General features: G+C 48.1%; 1 protein-coding gene, 1 long non-coding RNA gene and 1 pseudogene across 4 annotated transcripts in view, besides 7 other annotated features; 2 read left to right on the top strand and 1 right to left on the bottom strand.

Annotated features, from left to right (window-relative positions):
- ITFG2-AS1 (ITFG2 antisense RNA 1) overlaps positions 1–21,049 on the top strand; it is a 70,299-nt gene that overhangs the window by 6,269 nt on the left and 42,981 nt on the right. The window contains exon 2 of one of the 2 annotated variants that reach the window (NR_146317.1): positions 9,710–9,779. This is a non-coding gene — a long non-coding RNA (ITFG2 antisense RNA 1). Of the gene's footprint in view, positions 1–1,338; positions 1,526–9,709; positions 9,780–21,049 lie in introns of those variants that run through there. The other variant, NR_146318.1, reaches the window with a different exon arrangement.
- On the bottom strand, positions 1,233–11,686 carry FKBP4 (FKBP prolyl isomerase 4). Of its 2 annotated transcripts, none has more exons than NM_002014.4 (10): positions 11,412–11,686; positions 9,374–9,518; positions 8,785–8,927; positions 7,830–7,950; positions 7,412–7,568; positions 6,716–6,806; positions 6,534–6,617; positions 6,079–6,264; positions 5,300–5,539; positions 1,233–3,505 (listed from the first exon to the last, which is right to left on the bottom strand). In NM_002014.4, the coding sequence occupies exons 1-10, from the start codon at positions 11,514–11,516 to the stop codon at positions 3,398–3,400; spliced, it is 1,380 nt and encodes a 459-aa protein (NP_002005.1). In that variant the 5' UTR covers positions 11,517–11,686; the 3' UTR covers positions 1,233–3,397. The 2 variants fall into 2 exon arrangements, with proteins under 2 accessions (NP_002005.1, XP_047284495.1); XM_047428539.1 differs by lacking the exon at positions 11,412–11,686 and adding an exon at positions 10,288–10,715.
- Positions 9,024–10,223: an enhancer, noted in NCBI's record as "BRD4-independent group 4 enhancer chr12:2905599-2906798 (GRCh37/hg19 assembly coordinates)". NCBI's record gives its function as "activates an origin of replication core promoter dependent on BRD2, P300/CBP, MED14 and CDK7 cofactors, and independent of BRD4, by STARR-seq in HCT116 cells {active_cell/tissue: HCT116}" and the evidence as "EXISTENCE:reporter gene assay evidence [ECO:0000049][PMID:35650434]".
- Positions 10,638–11,047: a silencer, noted in NCBI's record as "silent region_4132". NCBI's record gives its function as "represses an Ori minimal core promoter by ATAC-STARR-seq in GM12878 lymphoblastoid cells {active_cell/tissue: GM12878}" and the evidence as "EXISTENCE:reporter gene assay evidence [ECO:0000049][PMID:35858748]".
- Positions 11,398–11,457: a silencer, noted in NCBI's record as "silent region_4131". NCBI's record gives its function as "represses an Ori minimal core promoter by ATAC-STARR-seq in GM12878 lymphoblastoid cells {active_cell/tissue: GM12878}" and the evidence as "EXISTENCE:reporter gene assay evidence [ECO:0000049][PMID:35858748]".
- Positions 11,488–11,867: a silencer, noted in NCBI's record as "silent region_4130". NCBI's record gives its function as "represses an Ori minimal core promoter by ATAC-STARR-seq in GM12878 lymphoblastoid cells {active_cell/tissue: GM12878}" and the evidence as "EXISTENCE:reporter gene assay evidence [ECO:0000049][PMID:35858748]".
- Positions 11,488–12,261: a biological region, named in NCBI's record as "H3K27ac-H3K4me1 hESC enhancer GRCh37_chr12:2903561-2904105".
- Positions 11,717–12,261: an enhancer, noted in NCBI's record as "H3K27ac-H3K4me1 hESC enhancer chr12:2903561-2904105 (GRCh37/hg19 assembly coordinates)". NCBI's record gives its function as "activates a minimal SCP1, AML or CMV promoter by ChIP-STARR-seq in primed H9 embryonic stem cells {active_cell/tissue: H9 hESC(primed)}" and the evidence as "EXISTENCE:reporter gene assay evidence [ECO:0000049][PMID:30033119]".
- Positions 12,262–12,807: an enhancer, noted in NCBI's record as "H3K27ac-H3K4me1 hESC enhancer chr12:2903015-2903560 (GRCh37/hg19 assembly coordinates)". NCBI's record gives its function as "activates a minimal SCP1, AML or CMV promoter by ChIP-STARR-seq in primed H9 embryonic stem cells {active_cell/tissue: H9 hESC(primed)}" and the evidence as "EXISTENCE:reporter gene assay evidence [ECO:0000049][PMID:30033119]".
- Positions 19,074–19,409, top strand: CBX3P4 (CBX3 pseudogene 4; annotated as a pseudogene).

The following is a 21,049-nucleotide window of genomic DNA, read 5'->3' as shown; positions in this document are numbered from 1 at the left end:
AGCCTGATCAATATGGCAAAACCCTGTCTCTACTAAAAATACAAAAATTAGCCAGGCGTGGTGGCGTGCGCCTGTGGTCCCAGCCACTTGGAAGGCTGAGAGAGAATTGCTTGAACCTAGGACGTGGAGGTTCCAGTGAGCCAAGATTGCGCCACTGCACTCCAGCCTGGGGAACACAGCAAGACTCCATCTCCAAAAAAAAAAAAAGAAAATAAATTAAATTAAAAAAATTGGTAGTGTTATTTAGCACAGGATAAATTAATGTTTTTATTATTTCTAGGTTTTCTAACTGGGGATAGTTAATGCATCCACATCATCTGAGGTTGGCAAACAGCTGGGGAACTGTAGCCATAAGGCAGCAATAATGAATTCCAGAAAGAGAACAAATTTTCCTTACTTACAATGTCCAGACTCTTACATTGGTTGTATTCAGCACTGCCCTTAATGCATTGTCGTTTCAACTTGTTTTAAGGTTCTGAGGTGTTTTGCATTTGGAAAGGGAAAATTAGTCACTGAGACGTAACAGGAATAAGGTTTGAGAAGTTCTGCTTTCTAACTTTTTCCAGTAATGACATTTTCTAAAAAGATACTACACTTTACTAGTCCTGCATAAAGTGCCTTTCACATATTTTTTCTCCAATGGAAATGGAATACAGTCCTCCATTCACCCTCAGGGTGGCGAAGCTGGCATAGAGTGAGGGCAAGTGTTAAGTGCACTTTGCCAAGCCTTGCAGGGTTTTGTGGGCCATGATAAGGATTCTTTAGCCTAAATGGGATGGGTAATCATTGAAAGTGATTTAAGTACTCGGAGGGACACGATTGGGATGCAGTACAGAGTGAACTGCAGGAGGGGCAGGAGGGAATCCCAGATAGGAGCCTGGGATTTGCAGGAGAGCAGGCTGGAGTGCATGGTGATGGGAGGGAGCGGTACTAGTATGGAGGGAGTAGAAATACTTGGGAGATAAAATTCATGGAACTCGATGTTAGAACCAGCACTAGGGCAAGATAAACCCTATTTTAAATTTTTCTAGAGACCACTTGCAAAGCTTGTTAAAAGCTCACAGTACTGCTTGCTACTAACTTTTCTTTCTTCAGGCACATTTCTCTGCATATAGAAAGATTTAAGTGTCGGTAGGCAGGGACAACTGACTGGGAAATGAACTTGTAGCACTGACCCAGGGCAGACTTGAGTATGTGGCAGGATTATTTTTAGGCTGAAAGACTTGTAGGCATTTTAACAAAACATCCTCACTAGACAGTTTTAATGTTACATAAACTAAGACTTATCTCTAGATGTTCCACGGTTACATGCAGTTTTACATTCTTGGAATCCTACAGGATGCAGAGCTGGAAGAAACCTCAGGAATGCTTTCGATTTTGCAGATGAGGACAGAAGCCCAGGACTTGCCAAAGGAACCTCATGGGAGAGTCTGGATTAGTTCAGAGACCTCACCTTTCCATTTAACTTCTGAGTCTTGGTTTTCTTATCTGTAAATAGGGTTATTAAAGTTATACCTTCTTTGTAGGATGGTTGCAAGGATTCAGTTTCACTCATGTGATGCTGTCAGTACAGTGCTAGGCTTACTCCATAAATGCTTGAGTTAGTGATTATTGTTGGCTGCAGGCGTAAGAATCTACTACTTTTGAAATACCAAGAGGACCCAGACACAAACCACAAACACAGGGCTGTGATGTGAGGTAAGCCCAGTAAGAAAGCAGTTACACAGGGACTTTTTTAAAAAAGAGATGGTCTCACTCTCTTGCCCAGGCTGGCGTGCAGTGGCACAGTCACAGTTCTCTGCATCCTTGGTGTCTTGGGCTCAAGGGATACTCACACTGGGAGACTTGTACACCCCAATTTTAATCCTGGCTCCAGCATCAGCTGTGTTGTATGACTTGGTGAAAATTTTCACACAGAAATACATCTTCCACCATTATACATTTCTTCTGGAAGGAACTATACAGGCATGTGGCTAAGCAGACAACCACATCGCTGTTGGGAAAGGACTGGAGAGCTCACAGTAGGAGAGAGGGATGAGGGCAGACACGGGCTCTGGCCTGGAGCCAGGATTATCTGGAGGCAGCTCAGCATGACTGGCTTGTGCTGCCTGGCTTCTCCCAGGGCCCCATCATGCCATAGGAGTTAAGGGTCAAAGCATAGTTAGAAAAAAAGCACAAGCCTTTTCCTGTTAAGGCTGAGAAGGAAGCTGGACGTGAACACTCTGCTTTACTCTTAACCTTAATCATGTAAGTTATCTGACAGGAGGAGGTCAGTGACACCAGGAGTTTTACCTTGTTAACAAACCAAAATGCAGATACCTCTGCCAGATCAGAGGTAGGCAGAAGACCAATTCCAACTTCAAAATGAACATGCATGGTGTCCCAGTCTTCTAGATCTTTATACTTTCGTCTTCCTAAGTGTCAGGGAAGAAAACCAGAGGCACTAAAACTGCCAGGTTGCTGGAGGGAGGGAGTGCTGGGAACCTTGGGCGAAGCCATAGACACAAATCCCAGCGGCAGCCTGTGCAGTGCTCAGGAAGCCATGCATGGTGGGGCTGCTTCCTGCCCAACTATGGCATCTACATGAGATGCTCACTTATTTAAGCTCAACTGGAACTAAGTGGGTGACCCCTTGATTGTGCTACTACCCATTATGTACCCACCCATACCCACCACTCCAAGGCTGAACAGAAAGGGTTGTCTGACACCCAGGTTTTATTGTTTCCACTTTATTGCTCAAGCATGGAACTTGAGGCAAGCCTGGACCTTCAGCAACGTGCAGAGAAGAGGCTGAGGGGATTTTGGGACACAACCTGGCCGAGAGGGGAAACTGACAGGGGAAATACCAGAACAGGGAACAGGGGGTGGTCACCATGACACCAGAAGACATCATCAGCCACACCGTCGGGGGTGAGGAAGGGAACAGAGAGAAGAAATGGCATAGCAGTGGTTTTTCCCATGTCCCTAGCACCCACATGGAGGCCACATTTGGAAATGGACTGGGAGAGGGAAAGGATGAGGAAAACGGCTGCCCAGGAGTCTCCCTCTCCACCCTGGGTTCTTATCAGACCTCATCCCTACCACTTGCCTCTTCTACCCTTAGAAAATGGACCTAACAGAGGGAGCAAAATAAATTAACATTCTGATGAATATATATGGATGGACATATGTTCATGTGCAATGGAGGAAGGGAAGAGGGGCTGACACCAGCTAAAATGATTCCCCACCTCAATCCCCCAGCCTACACCTTTCCCCCTTCCCCTAAAGCCACCATCCAACCAGATAGAAAAATAAAGGTCTAATTCACTCAAAATTCTTCAGTTTTTACAAAACTAACAGGGTGGAGTGGGGAGACTGGGGGGCAGGCAGCCGCAGGAGTAGGGCTGGTGGAGAGGGGCTATGCTTCTGTCTCCACCTGAGACTGGCTCCCTGCCGTGTTGCTCTTCTGCTCCTCCTTCATCTCTGTGTCAGTGGGATGGTCTCCTGAGGAAGCCTCTGCCTTGGCCTGCAAGGAAGATGAACAGCAAACGGGCTGACTTCCCAAGTGAAAAAACACACACTTAATTTCCAGCAGAATTACACAGATACACCCATTCTCCTACATCTGTCCTAAAGCTATACCTGTATAGGCCAAGCCTGGTGGCTTATGCCTGTAATCCCAGCACTTTGGGAGGCTGAGGTGGTCAGATTGCTTGAGCCCAGAAGTTTGAGATCAGCCTGGGCAACATGGTGAAACCTCATCTCAACAAAAATTACAAAAATTACCTGGGCGTGGTGGCATGCACCTGTAGTCCCAGCTACTCGGGAGGCTGAGACAAGAGGATCACTTGAGCCCTGGAGGCAGAGGTTACAGTGAACTGAGACTGTGCCACTGCACTCCAGCCTGGGCGGCAGGGCAAGAGACACTGTCTCAAACAAAACAAAACAGAACACTTGTATATGTACAAATTATGAACTCATGAGGTTATTCACTGCAATGCTGTTCTAAGCAGCACTGTCCCGTATGGTAGCCACTACTGTAAGTGGCTAGTTCAAACTCGTGTTTTTAGTGCAAAATATACATTGGATTTTGAAGATGGTTTGAAAAATACACAAATGCAACTAAAATTTAATTCCATTTGTTTTTCACCTTTTTAACATGGTTACCAGAAAATTTTGAATTACATGTGGTTGATACTGTATTTCTACTGGACAGTGCTGGTTTAGAACACTGTTTAAGACTGGCTGGGTGTGGTGGCTCACACCTGTAATCCCACCACTTTGGGAGGCAGGGGTGGGCAGATCACTAAAGTCAGGAGTTCGAGAGCCTGGTCAACATGATGAAACTTCGTCTGTACTAAAAATACAAAAATTAGCCGGGTGTGGTGGCGGGCGCCTGTAATCCCAGCTACTCGGGAGGCCGAGGCAGGAGAATCGCTTGAACCCAGGAGGTGGAGTTTGCAGTGAGCCAAGATCATGCCATTGCACTCCAGCCTGGGCAACAAGAACGAAACTCTGTCTCAGAAAAAGAAAAAAAATAAAACCACTGGAAGACTAAAAAGGGACTGATTGACTAAGACAAGCCATATCCATACAATGGAATACAATGTAAGCCTAAGAAAGAATGTAAAAGTTCTTTAAATACGGATGTAAAATAAGCCTCCAGCTACTATTACGTGAAAAAAGCATAGTATGCGCCAAATCATAGGTGGAGCACGTTGCCTGTGTTAGGGGAAAGGGAGGAAGCAACAGGAACGTCTGCCTGTGCCTTGACGCAATACACTGGACCATCCAAGACCCTGAAGGGGCAGCTGCTTCTGGTGGGGGAGGCAGACTTGACTGTATACTTTGGTACAGTTTGAATTTAACTAAGTGTATTATTTATTTAATCACACACAAAAAGCATCTCGCTTTTCTTTTTTTGAGATGGGGTTTCATTTTGTCACTCAGGCTGGGGTGCAGTGGTGCCATCCTAAGTCACTGAGGTCTCTACCTACTGGGTTCAAGTGATCCTCCCACTTTGGCTCTGCAAAGTGCTGGGATTGCAGGTGTGAGCCACGGCGCCTGGCCCACAAGAAAACATAAATCGGGAATTACACTCAGGGCAACCAACCCAACTTCTGGGGCTTGTGGGTAGGTTTCCCGCACTGATCACAGAACACTGGCCCCAACAGCAGGAACACGTGCTCCTTAATGCTCCAGGGAAAAGGCAACTTCTGGTTTCCGGGATTGGCACAGACAACCAAAGGCACAAAGAGCCCACAGTAGCCAGGTTAAGTGGAGGGATGCTATTCCAACTGTTCCCCACCCCAATCCTCACCTTGTTCTCCTCCTCAGCCAGCCTCTCAAACATATTGGCATAGAGCTTCTTCTCCCGGGCAAGCTGCCTTCGGATCCGCTGCTGGCACACAGCCAGCTGGGTCTTGGCGGCTTTGTTGTTGGGGTAGAGCTGCAGGACCTTCTGGAAATCAGCCCGTGCCAGTTCAAAGTCATTCACGGCCAGGTGGGCCTCTCCCCGGCGGAAGAGGCCCTTCTCGTTGTTGCTGTCCAGTTCTAGGGCCTAAAGAATGCAGAGAGGAAGCCACATTGTGGGAGCTCAGGGCTTGTAGCTCATCTGGCCTAGACTGGGTTCCAAAGGTACCCCTCAGGAGGATGAGGAGGAATGCAAGTGGCTGGCTGCACCCCAGGAAGAACAAGGCCTGAGGCATTAAATGGAACAATCCAGGGACCTCATTTAATCCAACAGGCAGAGAGGGAAGACAGCAGGTCTTTGGATGAAATAAAGACTTCAGACATTAACATTCACTTTAGAATAAAGCAAGTAGGTAAGCGGAGAGGCTAAGAACCAAGGTGGAAGAAAACTCTTTATGTGATTCTTCCCATTCCGTGTCCTCCTCCTTCTTGCCAACTGCTTCCCACCAAAGCTAAGGTTCTTGCTATGAATACTTGCATCCGTGCCTTTGGTCTGTAACCTCAGAGCTCCCACTGATCCACCCTGCTATCCCTGCCCTAGTCACCAAGGGGAAGTTTCAGACATGCTGGCAGCTCACCCAACTCTGCCTGTGAATGCTGCTTCCATGACCTCTGAGGGGGCCTCACCTTGTTACAGCTTTCAATGGCAGCAGAGAAGGCCTGTAGTTTCAGATGACACATGGCCAGGTTGAGGTGAGAGGCCAGTCGAAGGGCCTGTGCTTTCTGTGCTTCCTCATTGGAAAAACTAGACTCATATTCCAGCCAAGACACGATCTTCTTATACTGTAGTAAAGCTTGCTTGTATTTACCTTCCTGGAATGGGAGAGAGGCTCAGGCACCTGGCACAGTTTCAGTGGTACTAGGCTCTTATACCCTGCAGACATCAGTGACACATGGCCACAAGAGGTTCCTGCTCCCACCCTTCCCACTGGCAAGGCCAGCAAGCTCACATATATGAAGTGAAGATGGCAGGTGCCAACCTGTCCACTTCTTGGCAGAAAATGATCTCAGTCACCAAGGGAAGGGGAGGCTCAGAGCAACTCTTCCTGGGAGTGTCCTTAGGACAATGACTGTTGGCTCACCTTGAAGTACACAGTGCCCCGCTCTTTCACTATGGTGCTCTGTTCCAGCTTCTCTTCTGAATTCATCTCCCAAGACTCCTTGGCCTGCCACACCCCAGGAGAGAAACAAAGTTGTCAGCTACCCCAGAGTCACGTACAGGGTGGAACTTGACTTTAGATGGGAAGACCCTGAGCAAACTTACCTTTTCAAAACTCTTGAGGTGTAATTCATATTTCAGCTCAGCATTTGGTGGGATTTGGAACTTTTCCTTCCCAACACTGCCAAAAGCATAGCTGGAGGGGTGAAAAACACTATGTATCATCTTGGCAACACTTAACCTGCTCCAGGCTGAAAAGGCTTCCTGTCCATTTCCTGGAAAGTACCTTCCCATCCCTTGAGACTTGGTTCAAATGTTTGGCAAATCTTCCCTGGCCTCTTCACACTGTCAGATGGTCCCTCAGCATCCTTCATACCCTTCTAATAACTTACAGCCAGGCAGCAGTGTGATTACTAATTTAAATAGCACCTCACTAAACAATGAGCTAGAATTAGAAGGCAGAAACAATGTTCTATTAGTCTCTGAAGCCCTATAGGAATTTTCAGCAGTGCCTGGCATGTAGTAGCTGTTTCAGTAATGACTGAAATGAATTAATGGGAGAGGAAAATCTTGATGGCAGAGGAGAGAATCTGTAGCAACTATGACTGAAAAGACTGGGCTTAGATCCAAGGAGATGTAGACAATTGGGCCATACTTCTAAGTACACTGAGGATATCATAATGGTGTATGTTTGGTGTGGCCAGAGTTAAAAAGGATACAAACAGCTGGTTCTACAATTCATTTTATATCTTTGATCTTGGTTTGCCTGCCTGCCTACCCTACGAAGTGCCCACCCCTCACCTGGGCTTGAGGTACACGATGGAATGTTCTCCTTTCTCCATGCGCTGAATGGCCCTCTCCAGACCATAAGGCAGATCCAGGTTCTCCCCCTCGCCAATCTCAAAGCGGAGCTCCCGCTGGTCAAAGAGCTTGTCCTTGTAGTACCCTTCCAGTGCAACTGGCATGAAAGAGAGGCAGTGTACCAGAGTTGTAAGAGGGCAGGTGACTGAGGAAGGATGCCATCAGCCTCCCTGCATCACCCCCATCATCCCAAGATTCTCCTGTGTTCTCAAATCTGGAGTGATATGAAGAGAATATGGTCCAACCCCTCATTTTATGGACAAGAAGATAGGCTCGGAGAACGGAAGTGTCTTGCCCAAAGCCACACAAGGCCTAAATATCAGAATGAGAATTGAAAGCCCAGACTGTACTGTCTCACCCTCCACGATAGCACCCTCATTGGGCTTAGCATAGCCTTCACCGCGAGTCTGTATTCTGCGAATGATTCCGCCATCTTCCTCTTCCGTCAGATCTTCTCCCTTAAACTCAAACAACTCCACCTGTGGGACAAGATGTGACACAATTCCTTCCCATGCTAACTCATGGGCAGTGAAACACAATCTTTCTCATCCGAGAGAGTCCCTACTAACTGCCAGGCCGGATCTGACCACAAGGGCAGTCACAAGGAGTTGGGTAGAGTGGCACTTTTTTTCAGTTCTTGGGAGCTGCCCTAATCTCAACTTTGGTAGAGGTGGGCAGACTACATAGATTTCAGTTAAGCTGAGGAGAGCAATCTATTTGCTACCTGCTCTACTAACACGGACATATCAGGACGCGTCCCAGATAATCCTAATTCACACTACCTGATAAGCCCAACCTGGTAGGTATTAGAAATGATTACCCAACATCTCTCAGCAGTTTCTCAGTATTCAAGGGCCCACGGATTGGCTCAACCATTTTCAGATTGAACAATGTCAAGTTCTATCTCCTCAGTGAAGCCTTTTCTCAGCCCTTGACCCACAGGGGAGCTACTGCTCCCTCTTCTGGTCTCTAGAGCACCAATATTCTGTACTGCCATTTATAACGGGACATAGTTTCTGACATCCCGACTCCTTTCAGTATTCTTCTGGGTACCGCTCTGGAGATAAAGATGCCTTAACCCTGACCATGCTTTGAGTCTGGAGAGGGGCTTGTGCCTGCCTCTTCCCACCCGAAGCTTCTATTACTTCCATTACTAGCAGCAGCAGAGCCCTCTGCATTTCTCCTCCCATAAGGCCAGACCCTCAGCCTTGGCTACATTGTCTCCAAGAAGCAGGAAGGGCTGGAGGGCAGCCAGGCATTGGGCTGAGATAAGGCCTGGCTCTTAGCCTGGATCTCAGTGACCAAACACTCACCTCAAATACAAGCGTGGCATTGGGGGGAATCTTTGGAGGACTGCCTGCTGAACCGTAGGCATATTCTGGTTTGCAGGTGATGTGGCACACCTCCCCCACCTTCATGGTGGCTATGGCAATGTCCCAAGCCTTGATGACCTCCCCTGCAGGTACAGAAGCAAACAGGACCGCCTTAGCAGGGTTCTGATTCTGGGCTCAAACAGTGCTCCTGAAGAGTTACTGCACCACACTCATGGGGAAGCTGGACATCCTTTAGAAATGGGACCAGAAGGTGAGGTACCTGGTTGTATTAAGTGCTACCAGGTCTAAGAACTGTAAAAGATCACGTGACCCTGAACAAAAGAGTTTAAGATGCAAGACAGTCCACCTTTGAAGGGGGAGTAAGGTGTTGGGAGGTGATGAGGAGAAGGGGAGACAGAGATCAATATAGTTACAGAACGGTAGAAAAAAAAAAAAAAGAGTGACCGAAAGAGTTAACAGACTGTGATAAACCATTCCTCCCTGAGCTTGGTCCTGAGAAAATGGTTTCTGCTTGTGACAGCTTGTGTCCACCTCGAACCTATCCTACCAGCCCACTGACCACGCCTACCTTTTCCCAGGTCAAAGGAGAATTTGTCCTTGCGATCCAGACTGGAGTCAAACTTTGTGCCATCTAATAGCCAGCCAGTGTAGTGGACAAAGACTCGGTCCCCAATCATGGGCATCTCTGTACCTGTGCCCTCTCTCTTGATGACCTGGGAGGAAGGGGGAGAAAGTGAGTACCCCAGGGTTTGGGGCAGAAAGGGGCACCAGCACTGCCTGCAAGCCTCCAGAGGGAACATAAAGGGACTTCTCTGTGTTCATCCTCCTCTGCCTACTTGTCCCTCCAGATTCAGTTACTAGCAGCTTGGCTTATGAGTCAACTAACCTTCTTGTCTTTCTTGAGGTGCAGCAAGACTTGGTTTGAAAAAGGAGACAAAAGGCTGAGAGATCTGAGTTCAAGTTTCCGCTGTATGGTAAGTTTTTAAAATTCTCCACACTTTATTTGTAAAGCAGTGATGATAATCCCTATCTCCTACAGTTGTTGGAAGATTAGACCAGTAAAAGGTTGAATAATAGATTATTATTATAATCGGCAAAGGGGGAAGTATTTATGCCACACTTCCTCCTTCTTCCTTCATGCCAGTGGTCGTCAGACTAAGGTCTGGTTTGGAGACAGGAGAGCGAGAGGAGTATGAGTGAAGAGAATAGAAACAGTTCAAAACAGGTAAGGAAGAAACCAGGTTATAGGTGAACCCGGAGGCTCTCCATGGGACCTTAAACTCTGACTTGGGAGCTGAGTATTCCTCTGGTAGTTAGTCCAGGGCTGGAGTATTTCCCAGAAACGTAAAGGCTTCTTTAGCGCCACCTGGTAGGTGTGTGGTTACCCTCCAAGGGAAAGCTTCCACGAAGAATAGACAGGGGCTTTGAGGAGTAGAAAGGTAAAAGGGAAGGAATGATGGATCAAAGGGGAAATGAGCTTTCCTGGAATAACAATCTCGTAGAAAACGGCAGGACGCTGGAGCGAGAAGGGGAAGTCACATGCCACAGGAGAGCCGCTGGAGCAGACGCTTGAGGTCCCCAATAATCTGGTGCAAAGACAGATGCACTTCTGGACCAGGTAAAGGCCCCCTGAGGTGGGTGCCGCACACGCGGAGCTCAGCGGTGGGAAGCCAGGATGAGGACGCAGCAGCGGATGGGGAGAAGGCATAAGACGCAGGCTGGGAATTCACCATCTCTGATTCTCCCTGGAACCTGCTCCGACCCAAGGCAGGTTGTCCTGGCCCAGGTCAAGATGCCCTCCCCGCAGCTCCCCAGGCTATTTGTAGTCGAGCGGTCACTCGGCGGCAGGCTCCACAGCAGAGCGCCTCCTCCCCGCCCCACACCCCGCAGCCCTGGCTCCGGGAGGCGGCGGAGGGGGGAGGGGACTACAGCTCCCGGCATGCCCCGCGCCCGGCCTCCCCGGGGCCGAGGGAGGGGGCGCCGCGCGGCGAGTGGGGACCTCGCTGGGTCCCGGCGTCGGCAGGGGACCCCGGGAGGGCGCCGGAACCCTGTCGCGCCTGCGTCGCACAAAGGCCGAAGGGCCAGGAAAGCACTGTGGGGAGTCGCTCCCCGTCCTGGCCCGTGTTCCACCGCCCGGGTGGGCGAGCCCTGGCACCGCCACCAACGAGGCGGCCCGCGGCTGGCAGCTCCGCTGGGGCCGCGAGGTCGGGGGCGGCGTGGCGTGGGAGGCCCGGCCTGGCCCCGGGCTGCGGCTCGGGTGCCCGCGGCGGTCGCCTCGCCCCGCCCCTCTCCGCCGCCCCGCGCGCGCCGGGGTGGGCACTGCAATCCCGACCCCCTGCCCGGGCCCGGGCGCTGCCGGCTGGGGAGCCTGGGGCCTCGGCCCGCGCACCTAGGCCGCCCCCCTGCCGAGCGCATGGCCGGCCTCGGTGCCTTAAACGACGCAGCCCGGTCCGGGACGGCGATGCCACCGGCCCCCGGCGGGACGGCCGCGAGGCTGCAAAGGCGGCCGCCTCGACCCGTGCCCGGCCGCGGGCTCCGGGCGCGGCGGAAGGGCGGCCCGCGGGGCCCCGGGTTCCGACGCCTCCGCAGGCCCCGCCGCCCCTCACCTTCAGCACGCCTTCGTCCTGTTTGGGGCTGATGTCCACTCCCTCCATGGGCAGCGGCGCCGACTGCGCCCCGCTCTCGGTCGCCTTCATCTCCTCGGCTGTCATCTCCGCGCGGCGCGCCGTTTATCCGGGAGCTGGTGCCGGCGCGAGCGCACTCTGGGCCGCGGGCGGGGGCGCTACCTGCGGGGCGTGCGGGAGGCCGGGCGCGGCGGCACTGACTGCGGACCGCGAGGAGGCTTGAGCACCTCTGCACGCGGCGCGAGAGCTGGGGTAGGTGGGTCAGGAGCGGCTCGGGGAGCGATTGGTCCCGCCCCGCCGCGAGGGAGGGGCTGGGAGGAGCGGGAGCGCAGACAGAGGGGGCGGGGTGCAGAACTTTCTAGAGACGGCGGGACTGAGCCGGTTCGGGCTCAGTGCTGCGGGCGCTTCGGAATTTTTTTTTCTTTTTTTTTTTTTGGTTCTTGCCTCCTTCTGGCTGCCTGCCCCCTCCCCCTTCTCCTGGGACCCTCGGACTCGGGATCTCCCCGGCGGCCTCCCTTGGCCCTTCCTCCCTCCCTCCCATCCCCGCCCGCTTCCCTGTCTAACCGGATTCTTCCAGATTCTTCTCGATCGATCTCCCGACATCACTCCACCAGTCCGCTGCGCCTGCGGCGGGGTGTGGGGAGCGCAGGCTGCGGGATGGCAGTGGCGGCGCCCCCTCCCCGGGACCGGCCGTCACCACGGGCGGCGTGGCCTCTCTGCTATGACCCGCGTAGACCCTTCCCTACTTGGGGGAAAGAGGGCAAGGGCGTGCGCGGGGAGCGGGGAGTGAGTGGACAGCGCTGCCCCGCTGCAGAGAGCCGGGGAAAGCGACCTCGATTTCCCCAGATCCGAGAAGCCCCGGCCAGGCAGCGATGCCTCGCTCAGCGCCTGCAGATGCTGCGAGCAGCGGGGTTGGCAAGGCATGGCCCGCCCAGCTCGGAACTCAGATGGGGCACACACTCAGGGGACCCTTCCCGGCGGTAATAAAACTGCCGTTTCCGCGAATGCTTACAAAGATGGGTTCCCCTCACGAAAAAAGTCACTCGGTTTTCCTAAAGGCCCACAGAAGGAGTATTTTCTTCTCAATGTTTGCTTCCCGAGTGTTTTTCGACAGGCTGTGGAGCGCGCAGGTGCCGGTGTCACCTAAGCTATGGTCGTGGGACCTAGAGAGCCATCTAGAGAGGGGCCTGGTTTTGCTCAGCACCTAACCCCAGTTTAGCATAGTGCCTGGTGAGTGATGTCCCAATAGTTACTGGCTGCATGAATTTTCCTTTTTTAAATTTCTTTTTCCAAGTCTTGGCTGATTTTTTTTTCTTTTTTTTTTTTTTTTGAGACAGGGTCTTGCTCTGTCGCCCAGGCTGCAGTGCGGTGGTGCGATCTTGGCTCTCTGTAGCCGGGACTACAGGCGTCCGCCACCACGCCGACTAATTTTTGTATTTTTAGTAGAGACGGGGTTTCGCCATGTTGCCCAGGCTGGTCTCGAACATCTGGTCTCAAATGATCCGCCCGCCTCGGCCTCCCAAAGTTCTCGGATTACAGGCGTGAGCCACTGCGCCCAGCCTGAATTTTTATTCCAATAATAACTGTATTTTTGGACTTCCCGTTATGTGCCCGGCACTGTGCGATTGGACGCCATTAGTCTCATCAAACTAAATTGAAAGCTTTTTAGAGATGAACTTTCAGCGTCATAATGTGATGATTTATTGTAGTCCCTGCCGACGGAACTTGAAAGGGATGCAGAAGAAAAAGCCCTTCGCTTCAGCAATTTACAGCCCAAATGAGTTGAGCCATAATGAAGACGTCTCTTTAGGTGGCTGGAGACAGCTTCAGAGGATACGGGGCGCTGCCTCTGTAGGGGTTAAATCCACTACTTTTATGCAGAAGTAACAGTGCCAGGGGTCACCCAAACTCCGGGAGACCAGGATGGTGGGTGCTGGCTTCCGGGGTGGCAGTTTACCGCAAACTGTCCTTGGCTTGCACCTACTGATTCTCCACGTGTGGCGGTTTCTTTTCTGCGTCTTTTTCTTCATCGGAAGCGGACAGTGTGGGACCCCCCCTTTAATTCTGTTCGGCACGTACATAGTGGAGCCCTTCAGATTGCCTGCCGTTACATTAACACATAGCCTAATACCCTAGTGGAATGAGCATGTGCTTTGGAGTAAGGGACGTTGGGCGGCCCATGTGTTATGTTAGCTGTTTAAATTGGGGCAGGTTAGTTAATCTTCATGTCTCGATTTCTTGTCTGTAAAATAGAGATAGTAACATTTGTAAAAGAGGGTGATTTAATGGTTAAAAAAGCGGGAATCTGTGTATGGTATCTAGCTCAGTCCTCGCCTCCAACTCCGCAGCTGGTAAATAACGGTCGTTTTAGTGTGATCTGATAGGCGCTGCAGTGGAGATGGGGACAAAGGGCTAAGAAAACAGAGGTCTGTGAGACAGGGAAGGGCAAGAGGGCAAGGTTCCCGGTGAGAAGCTCTGTCCCCACACAGTGAAGGAGGAAACTAGGGGACCACAGGCAGAAACTAGGAGAAACCACAGGAGGAAACTAGGGGTCTTGAATCCTGGAGCAGGAACTTACTGTTTCTCTTAGAATATTTCCTGGTCGTTTATGTGATATTTTTCTGATCATAAAAAGTACATATACTGTAGAAAGTGTGCACGTGTTTTAGTCTCTTTCCTCTATCTCCTCACCCTTTCCCCAGGCCATTTAAGTTAGTATTCTCATTAAAGATGTGTAACCGGTACCACTCGAAATTCTTCCAAAATGTCCCCTTTTTTTGCGGGAGGAAGTCAGCACACTTTTTCTCATCCACCTTATCTGTAGGTGACTCCTGCTGGGATCAGAAACTTTGTTTTCGTCACACTGAGCCTCTTAGAGCTGACCTGGCTCAGATCCCAAACTCTGGGCCCATCATTTACACATGAAGACCCCTTGTTTCTACAGTTCATATCTTGACCTTCCTAGGCTGCCAATGCACTTAACATCCAAATAATTGTATGATATTTGGATCGTTCAAAAGACTGAAATGCATATAGGTGTGTGTGTTCATGTATGCATACATGTTATGCAGTATACCAGTACAATGAAAGCTGGAAATCTGTCACCCAGCCTAAGTTAGAATGTTCCCAGTATAATTTGTCAAAAATGTAATGCCAAAAAAAAAAAAAGCCGTTAAAGACCTTTACATATTTTCTTGTTAACTTTGGTGTCTGTTGATTGAGAAAATAGAAACTCTACTGACCAAAAAATACATATTTCTTTCTTTCTTTTTTTTTTTTTTTTTTTTTTGAGACGGAGTCTCGCTCTGTTGCCCAGGCCGGACTGCAGTGGCGTGATCTCTGCTCACTGCAAGCTCCGCCTCCCGGGTTCATGCCATTCTCCTGCCTCAGCCTCCCAAGCAACTGGGACTACAGTTGCCCACCACCATGCTCGGCTAAATTTTTGTATTTTTAGTAGAGACGGGGTTTCACCGTGTTAGCCAAGATGGTCTCCATCTCCTGACCTCGTGATCCACCTGCCTCGGCCTCCCAAAGTGCTGGGATTACAGGCGTGAGCCACCGTGCCCGGCCTCTACATACTTCTTAAAACATTTATTTATGTTAGTGATTTTAGTCCCATTTTCATACAATTTAAAAATAGTAGGCCCCTATGTGAGGCCTGTGCATAGTGAAGACCTGCGTGAAGGTTAAGCTCATGGGCTCTGGATTGGATTCTCCTGGATTCCAATTCCAGCACAAGCTCTTTACCTGGATTCAAATCTCAGCTTCATCATTGAACTCACCGTGTGAGTCCTGGAGGAAGGTTTCCTTGTCCCTAAAATGGCTGTCATGATAATGCCTTTCTCTCAGGGGTTTTCTCTGAAGATTAAATGGGTTATTTATTTTTTGGAGACAGGGTCACACGCTGTCGCCCAGGTTGGAATGCAGTCGTGCATCACAGCTCACTGCAGACTCCGCCTCCCAGGCTGAAGCAAATCCTTCCACCTCAGCCTCTGGAATAGCTGGGACTACACAGGCACAGACCACCATGCCTGGCTAACTTAAAAAAATTTTTTTTGTAGAGATGGGATCGCCCTGTATTGCCCAGGCTGGTCTTGAACTCCTGAACTCAAGTGATCCTCCTTGGTCTCCCAAAGTGCTGGGATTACAGGTGTGAGCCACTGAGACTGGCAATGGGATATTACATGTGAAGTACCTGAACTTGTATATGGTACACAGGGCGTAGGTGAGTGGTAGTGTGTGTGCCACATTTCAGCCTGTTGATTGCTGGAATATGCAGTTGTGTTTTTTGTTTGTTTGAGACAGGCTCTCGAGCTCTGTCACCCAGGCTGGAGTGCAGTGGCGTGAACATGGCTCACTGCAGCCTCAATCTCCCGAGCTCAAGCAATCCTCCTACCTCAGTCCCCCAAGTAGCTGGGACTACGGGTACATGCCACCACACCCAGTAATTTTATTTTTTGTAGAGACGGGGTCTCACTATGTTGCCCAGGGTGGTTTCGAACTCCTGAGCTCAGGTGATCTGCCCGCCTCAGCCTCCCAAAGTATTGGGGTTACAGACATGAGCCACAGGACCCGGGCCTTGGAATACGCAGTTGAAGATGTGGAAGACTCCAGCCCTGAAGTTGAAAGCCACTGGTCTAGATAAGGCTTTGCTCCATTAGTTCCAGAGGAGTGCTTCTCTTCTAATGTTAAATTACATCTGTGCTTTATGCACCTGGACACTTGACTATGAACTTGACTATCTCATGTAACTCACAGTAGCTTCACCTGCTGATATTCTGTCATTCCAACAAGACTGAAAGCCCCTTAAAGGTAGACTTGGTGTCAACACTTCCATGAATCCCACCATTAGCTGATCTCCTTGAGAGGAGGTAATGGGATATTTGGTGGTTGTCCTGCTGAAACAAAGCTTGTTTCCTTTTATAAAATCTAATTTCTTCCTTCTGATAAATACGCATATTTCTGTTTTGCTCTTGGGGAGATAGGAAGTAGCAAATCTTCATCCTACTGTATCTGTGGATGCACTGAAATTTGGCTTTGGCCTGGATCTTCAGAGGGTCAAATAGCCAAAGGTTGATTTCAGCATTATTTCTGTCTTCCTTGAACTTGTGTGTGATCAAGGATCACGTGGCCGGGTGCAGTGGCTCATGCCTGTAATCTCAGCACCTTGGGAGGCTGAGGCAGGAGGATTGCTAGAGGCCAGGAATTCAAGACCATCCTGGGCAACATAGTGAGACCCTGTCTCTACCAAAAACTAAACACAAAATTTTACATATGAAAAAGCATCATGTATGTGTCTAGGTTATTATCATATCTAATTAGCATAACTAGGACATGGATTGCCACTTGGGAAAAATAGTCTGAACGTCCATCATCCTCAGTTGAAAGTAAATGTATATTTAATATCATAAATGTGCACTGCAGTGATCACAAGAGCAATCCAGCAGCTGTCATTATTGAGAAATTAAGACATCATTGTTCCTTCACTATAACATCCAACTTCTATGATCAGTCTGCTAACTTTTAAAAAAGGTATGAATTGTAATAGGAACAATAATTTATTTGAGAGTTCATATTTATTCTTGTATCCTGGAAGTTCATTCTTTGTTGGTAATAGTTTTTGTTTAGTCAGATATTGACTTAAATATGTGTCCCTTTAGCATTTAGCCAAAATGTGTATTCACTGTATCTCTGAGTCTCACTCTTCACATAGGCTCACAGATGAGATGTTACGTAGCCCTTCTCTCTACGAGTAGCCTCCTCTGGGGGAGTTATTTTGGTTTTTCGTTGGGTTTACCTCCTCAGGTTTAATTTTCTCATGGGAAGAAAGGTTGCTGGAAGCCCTGGCCAGGGGTGGGGATTCTCACATAGATTCCTGGATAGACCAATCTGTCCCTCGTTAGACTCATACGCCCTTGGAGAAGAGGGGTATCTTTTTTTTTAAGGGGCCCTTGTTTGCTAGGGGCTTCATTGATTAATTATGTGGCACCCCAACCATCCTCTCTTTCCTTTCCTTGAGGGGAAAATGATGGAGAACGTCCCACAGCCCCTGTCCTCAGGGCTTGCCCCCTCCCCCCGCAAATTTATACTTCCTGTAGATGGCCAGCCGGTGGAAAGATGTTTATTGAGCACCTACTAGGTTCCTAGGTCTGTACCAGAGGCTGTGGAGTGCAGAGTCTGTGACATAATCTACCTTCCCTTAAGGAGCTTGCCTATAAAGAGAAGTAGAGCAGAACCCAGGACTAGCCAGTGTGGCACAGTTTCAAAGTGCAGAATGGCAGCATCTGGAAAAAGTATTCTGGGAAGTCCTCACAAAGAGCTAGAACTTGAGAAAGAGCTTGAAATATGGAAAATCATATTTACTTACTTTTAAAAGGACAAAACATATATCTTAAATGTATAGCTTGATACATTTTTCCATATGTATGTGTCCACAAAACTGTCACCCAGATGAAGATGTAGAAAATGTCAGCACCCTTAAGGCTCCTGGATGTTCCCTCCCAGTCAATCGTCATCTCCAATAGTAACGACTCTTCTGACCTTTGTCATAATAGATTAGTTGTATCTGTTTTGCACATCATTCAAGAGGGGTCGTACAGTATAGACTCTTTTATGACTGTCTTCCTTCCTTCCACATTATGTTTGTGAAATTCATCCATCTCGTGGCAGACAGGAGTAGCTCATTACCTGTCACTGCTTTGTAATCTTCCATGGTTTGAACACCCCACACTGTATCCATTCTATTGTTGATGACATTGGGGCTTCCAGTTTTTGGCTATGATGAATGAAGCTTCTCTGAATATTTTTGTACATGACTCTTGATGAACATACGTGCTTATTTCAGTTTGGTAGATACCTAAGAAGTGGAATTGCTGGGTTTGGGTGTTCCTTATATTTGGTTTTGGTAGATACTGACAATTGCCTGCAGTTGTGGTTCAGGTTACACTCCCACCGAATGTGTACAAGAGCACCAGTTTGTCCACACTCTTGCCAACACATGGTATTGTCAGTCCTTTTCATTCTAGTGCACCTGGGGGATGTAGAGCTAGATACATAATACATAATCTGTATTTTCTCGATAGCTAATTAAGTTGAACAGTTTTCATATACTTATTGGCCATCTGGATAGCCTCTTTTGTGAAAGACTTGTCTAAATCTTTGGTCCATTTTAAAGGATTTTGTTGGCCAGGCATGGTGGCTCACACCTGTAATCCCAGCACTTTGGGAGGCCGAGGCAGGTGGATCACCTGAGGTCAGGAGTTCAAGGCCAGCCTGGCCAACATGGCGAAACCCCGTCTCTACTAAAAATACACAAAATTAGCTGGGCATGGTGGCAGGCACCTGTAATCCCAGCTACTTGGGAGGCTGAGGCAGGAGAATTGCTTGAACCTGGGAGGTGGAGGTTGCAGTGAGCCGAGATCACGCCACTGCACTCCAGCCTGGACGACAGAGCGAGACTCTGTCTCAAAAAAAAAAAAAAAATTAAAGAAAAAAGAATTTTGTTGTCTGGTTATTAATCTGTGAGATTTCTTGATATATTATAGATAAAATTTGCTTTGACACACACACACACACACACACACACATATAGTAATGATCTTCTAGTCTGTGGCATGTCTTTTCACTTGCAAAATGTTTTTTTTTAATTTAACTTGTCCAGAGTTAATTGAAGCTTTTCTTAATTCTCAAAAAGCTGGTAAAGAAAAAGATGGTACTAAAAGAAAATCTGTATCTCACAGTGAATCTGATGTCAGCAAATCACAGAAGAAAAGAGATGCTGCTGACAAACCAAGAGGATTTGCCACAGGTCTTGATCCTGAAAGAGTAATTGGTGCCACAGATGGCAGCGGAAAATGGATGTTTCTCATGAGGTGGAAAGATTCAGGTGAGGCAGACTTCATGCTGGCAAAAGAAGCAAGTATGCAGTTTTCTCAGTTGTAACTGCTGTTTTTTTGGAGACGGTCTTGCTCTGTCGTCCAGGCTGGAGTGCAGTGGTATGATCTTGGCTCATTGCAACCTCCACCTCCTGGATTCAAGTGATTCTCCTGCCTCAGCCTCCCAAGTAGCTGGGATTACAGGTGCTCGCCACCACGCCCGGCTAATTTTTGTGTTTTTGGTAGAGATGGGGTTTCACCATGTTGGGTTGGCTGGTCTCAAACTCCTGGCCTCAAGCGATCAGCCCGCCTCAGCCTCCCACAGTGTTGGGATTACAGGCGTGAGCCACTATGCCTGGCCAGTAATTGCTTTTTATGAAGAGAGACTAACTTGGCATTTTTGTCCAGAAGATGAAACTCAATAATTGTTCACGTTAAAAAATATATATATGTGTATATATATATATGTGTATATATATGTGTATATATATGTGTATATATATATGTGTATATATATGTGTATATATATATGTGTGTGTATATATATATATATATATATAACATTTGGGTCTTGCTTTTTGATTTACTAATGTGACAAAATAACTACATTCTAATGAAAATCAAGTTTGATATGTTTGTTTTGAAAGTAGTGTTGGAAGAGTTGTTGGGGTTTTTTTTTCATCAGTAATACTGGTTACTTTGAACAAATAAATAAAAGATTTCTGTAGTTACTTCCTTTATTAGAAAAGAACATTTGATACCATGGTGTATTATTTCTTCTGCATTAAAGAACAGCTTTTCTATATGTTGGGGGAAATTTTCAGTCATTACTCCATTACTCCATCAGAACTTGTGTTTTTTTTTTTTTTTTTGAGACAGAGTTTCGCTTTTGTTGCCCAGGCTGAAGTGCAATGGCGTGATCTCGGCTCATTGCAACCTCTGCCTCCTGGGTTCAAGCAATTCTCCTGCCTCAGCCTCCCAAGTAGCTGGGGTTACAGGCATGTGCCACCATGCCCAGCTAATTTTTGTATTTTTAGTAGAGATGAGGTTTCCCCATGTTGGTCAGGCTGGTCTTGAACTCCTCACCTCAGGTGATCCGCCCGCCTCGGCCTCCCAAAGTGTTGGGATTACAGGCATGAGCCCCTGCACCTGGCCAAACTTGTTTTCTTATAAGCCTAAGGACCATCTAGATTTTTATTTATTTATTTATTTATTTTGTGTGTGTATACATAAAATGCACATGTAAATGTTTTCTTAAAAAAAATTCACCGAAACAAAAGCCACAGGCAAACCCATGTTTTTGAGATGCCATTATTCTAAGCAAGCTACGAGATGATCACTTCAAGTTAAAGTGAAAAGCTTCCTGAAGCCATACATTTCAAGGGAAATAAGTAATTCTACTTAATAGGACAATTTAAATCGGCTAATTTTAAAGCATCTATGTCTATAAATGAAGTGGTTTGTTTGCAAAATTCCTAAATGGAAAAATTTTATCACTGCCATCACTGGAGGTTTCCCCATCCAGATGAGGAAACAAGACACATCCCGGTGTGTTTTAATTAGCTAAACAAAACTGAGTTAAGTGAACATGTGACAGTTTCTCCAGTGGGCCATTCCTTAAAAACATTTTGAAATCTCTGTTGCTATATTGACTTAAAGTCATGATTCATGGAATATGTAAGACTTGGCTCATAGAAACCTAGTGAGATGGTTAGAGGTATTGGCAGTCTAGGACCTGCTGCCATA

Source organism: Homo sapiens, chromosome 12, assembly GCF_000001405.40.
Source record: "Homo sapiens chromosome 12, GRCh38.p14 Primary Assembly".
In the NCBI taxonomy this organism is placed as follows: Eukaryota; Metazoa; Chordata; class Mammalia; order Primates; family Hominidae; genus Homo; species Homo sapiens.
The sequence above is the reverse complement of the archived record's forward strand: the minus strand, read 5'-3'. Positions and strand labels throughout refer to the sequence as shown.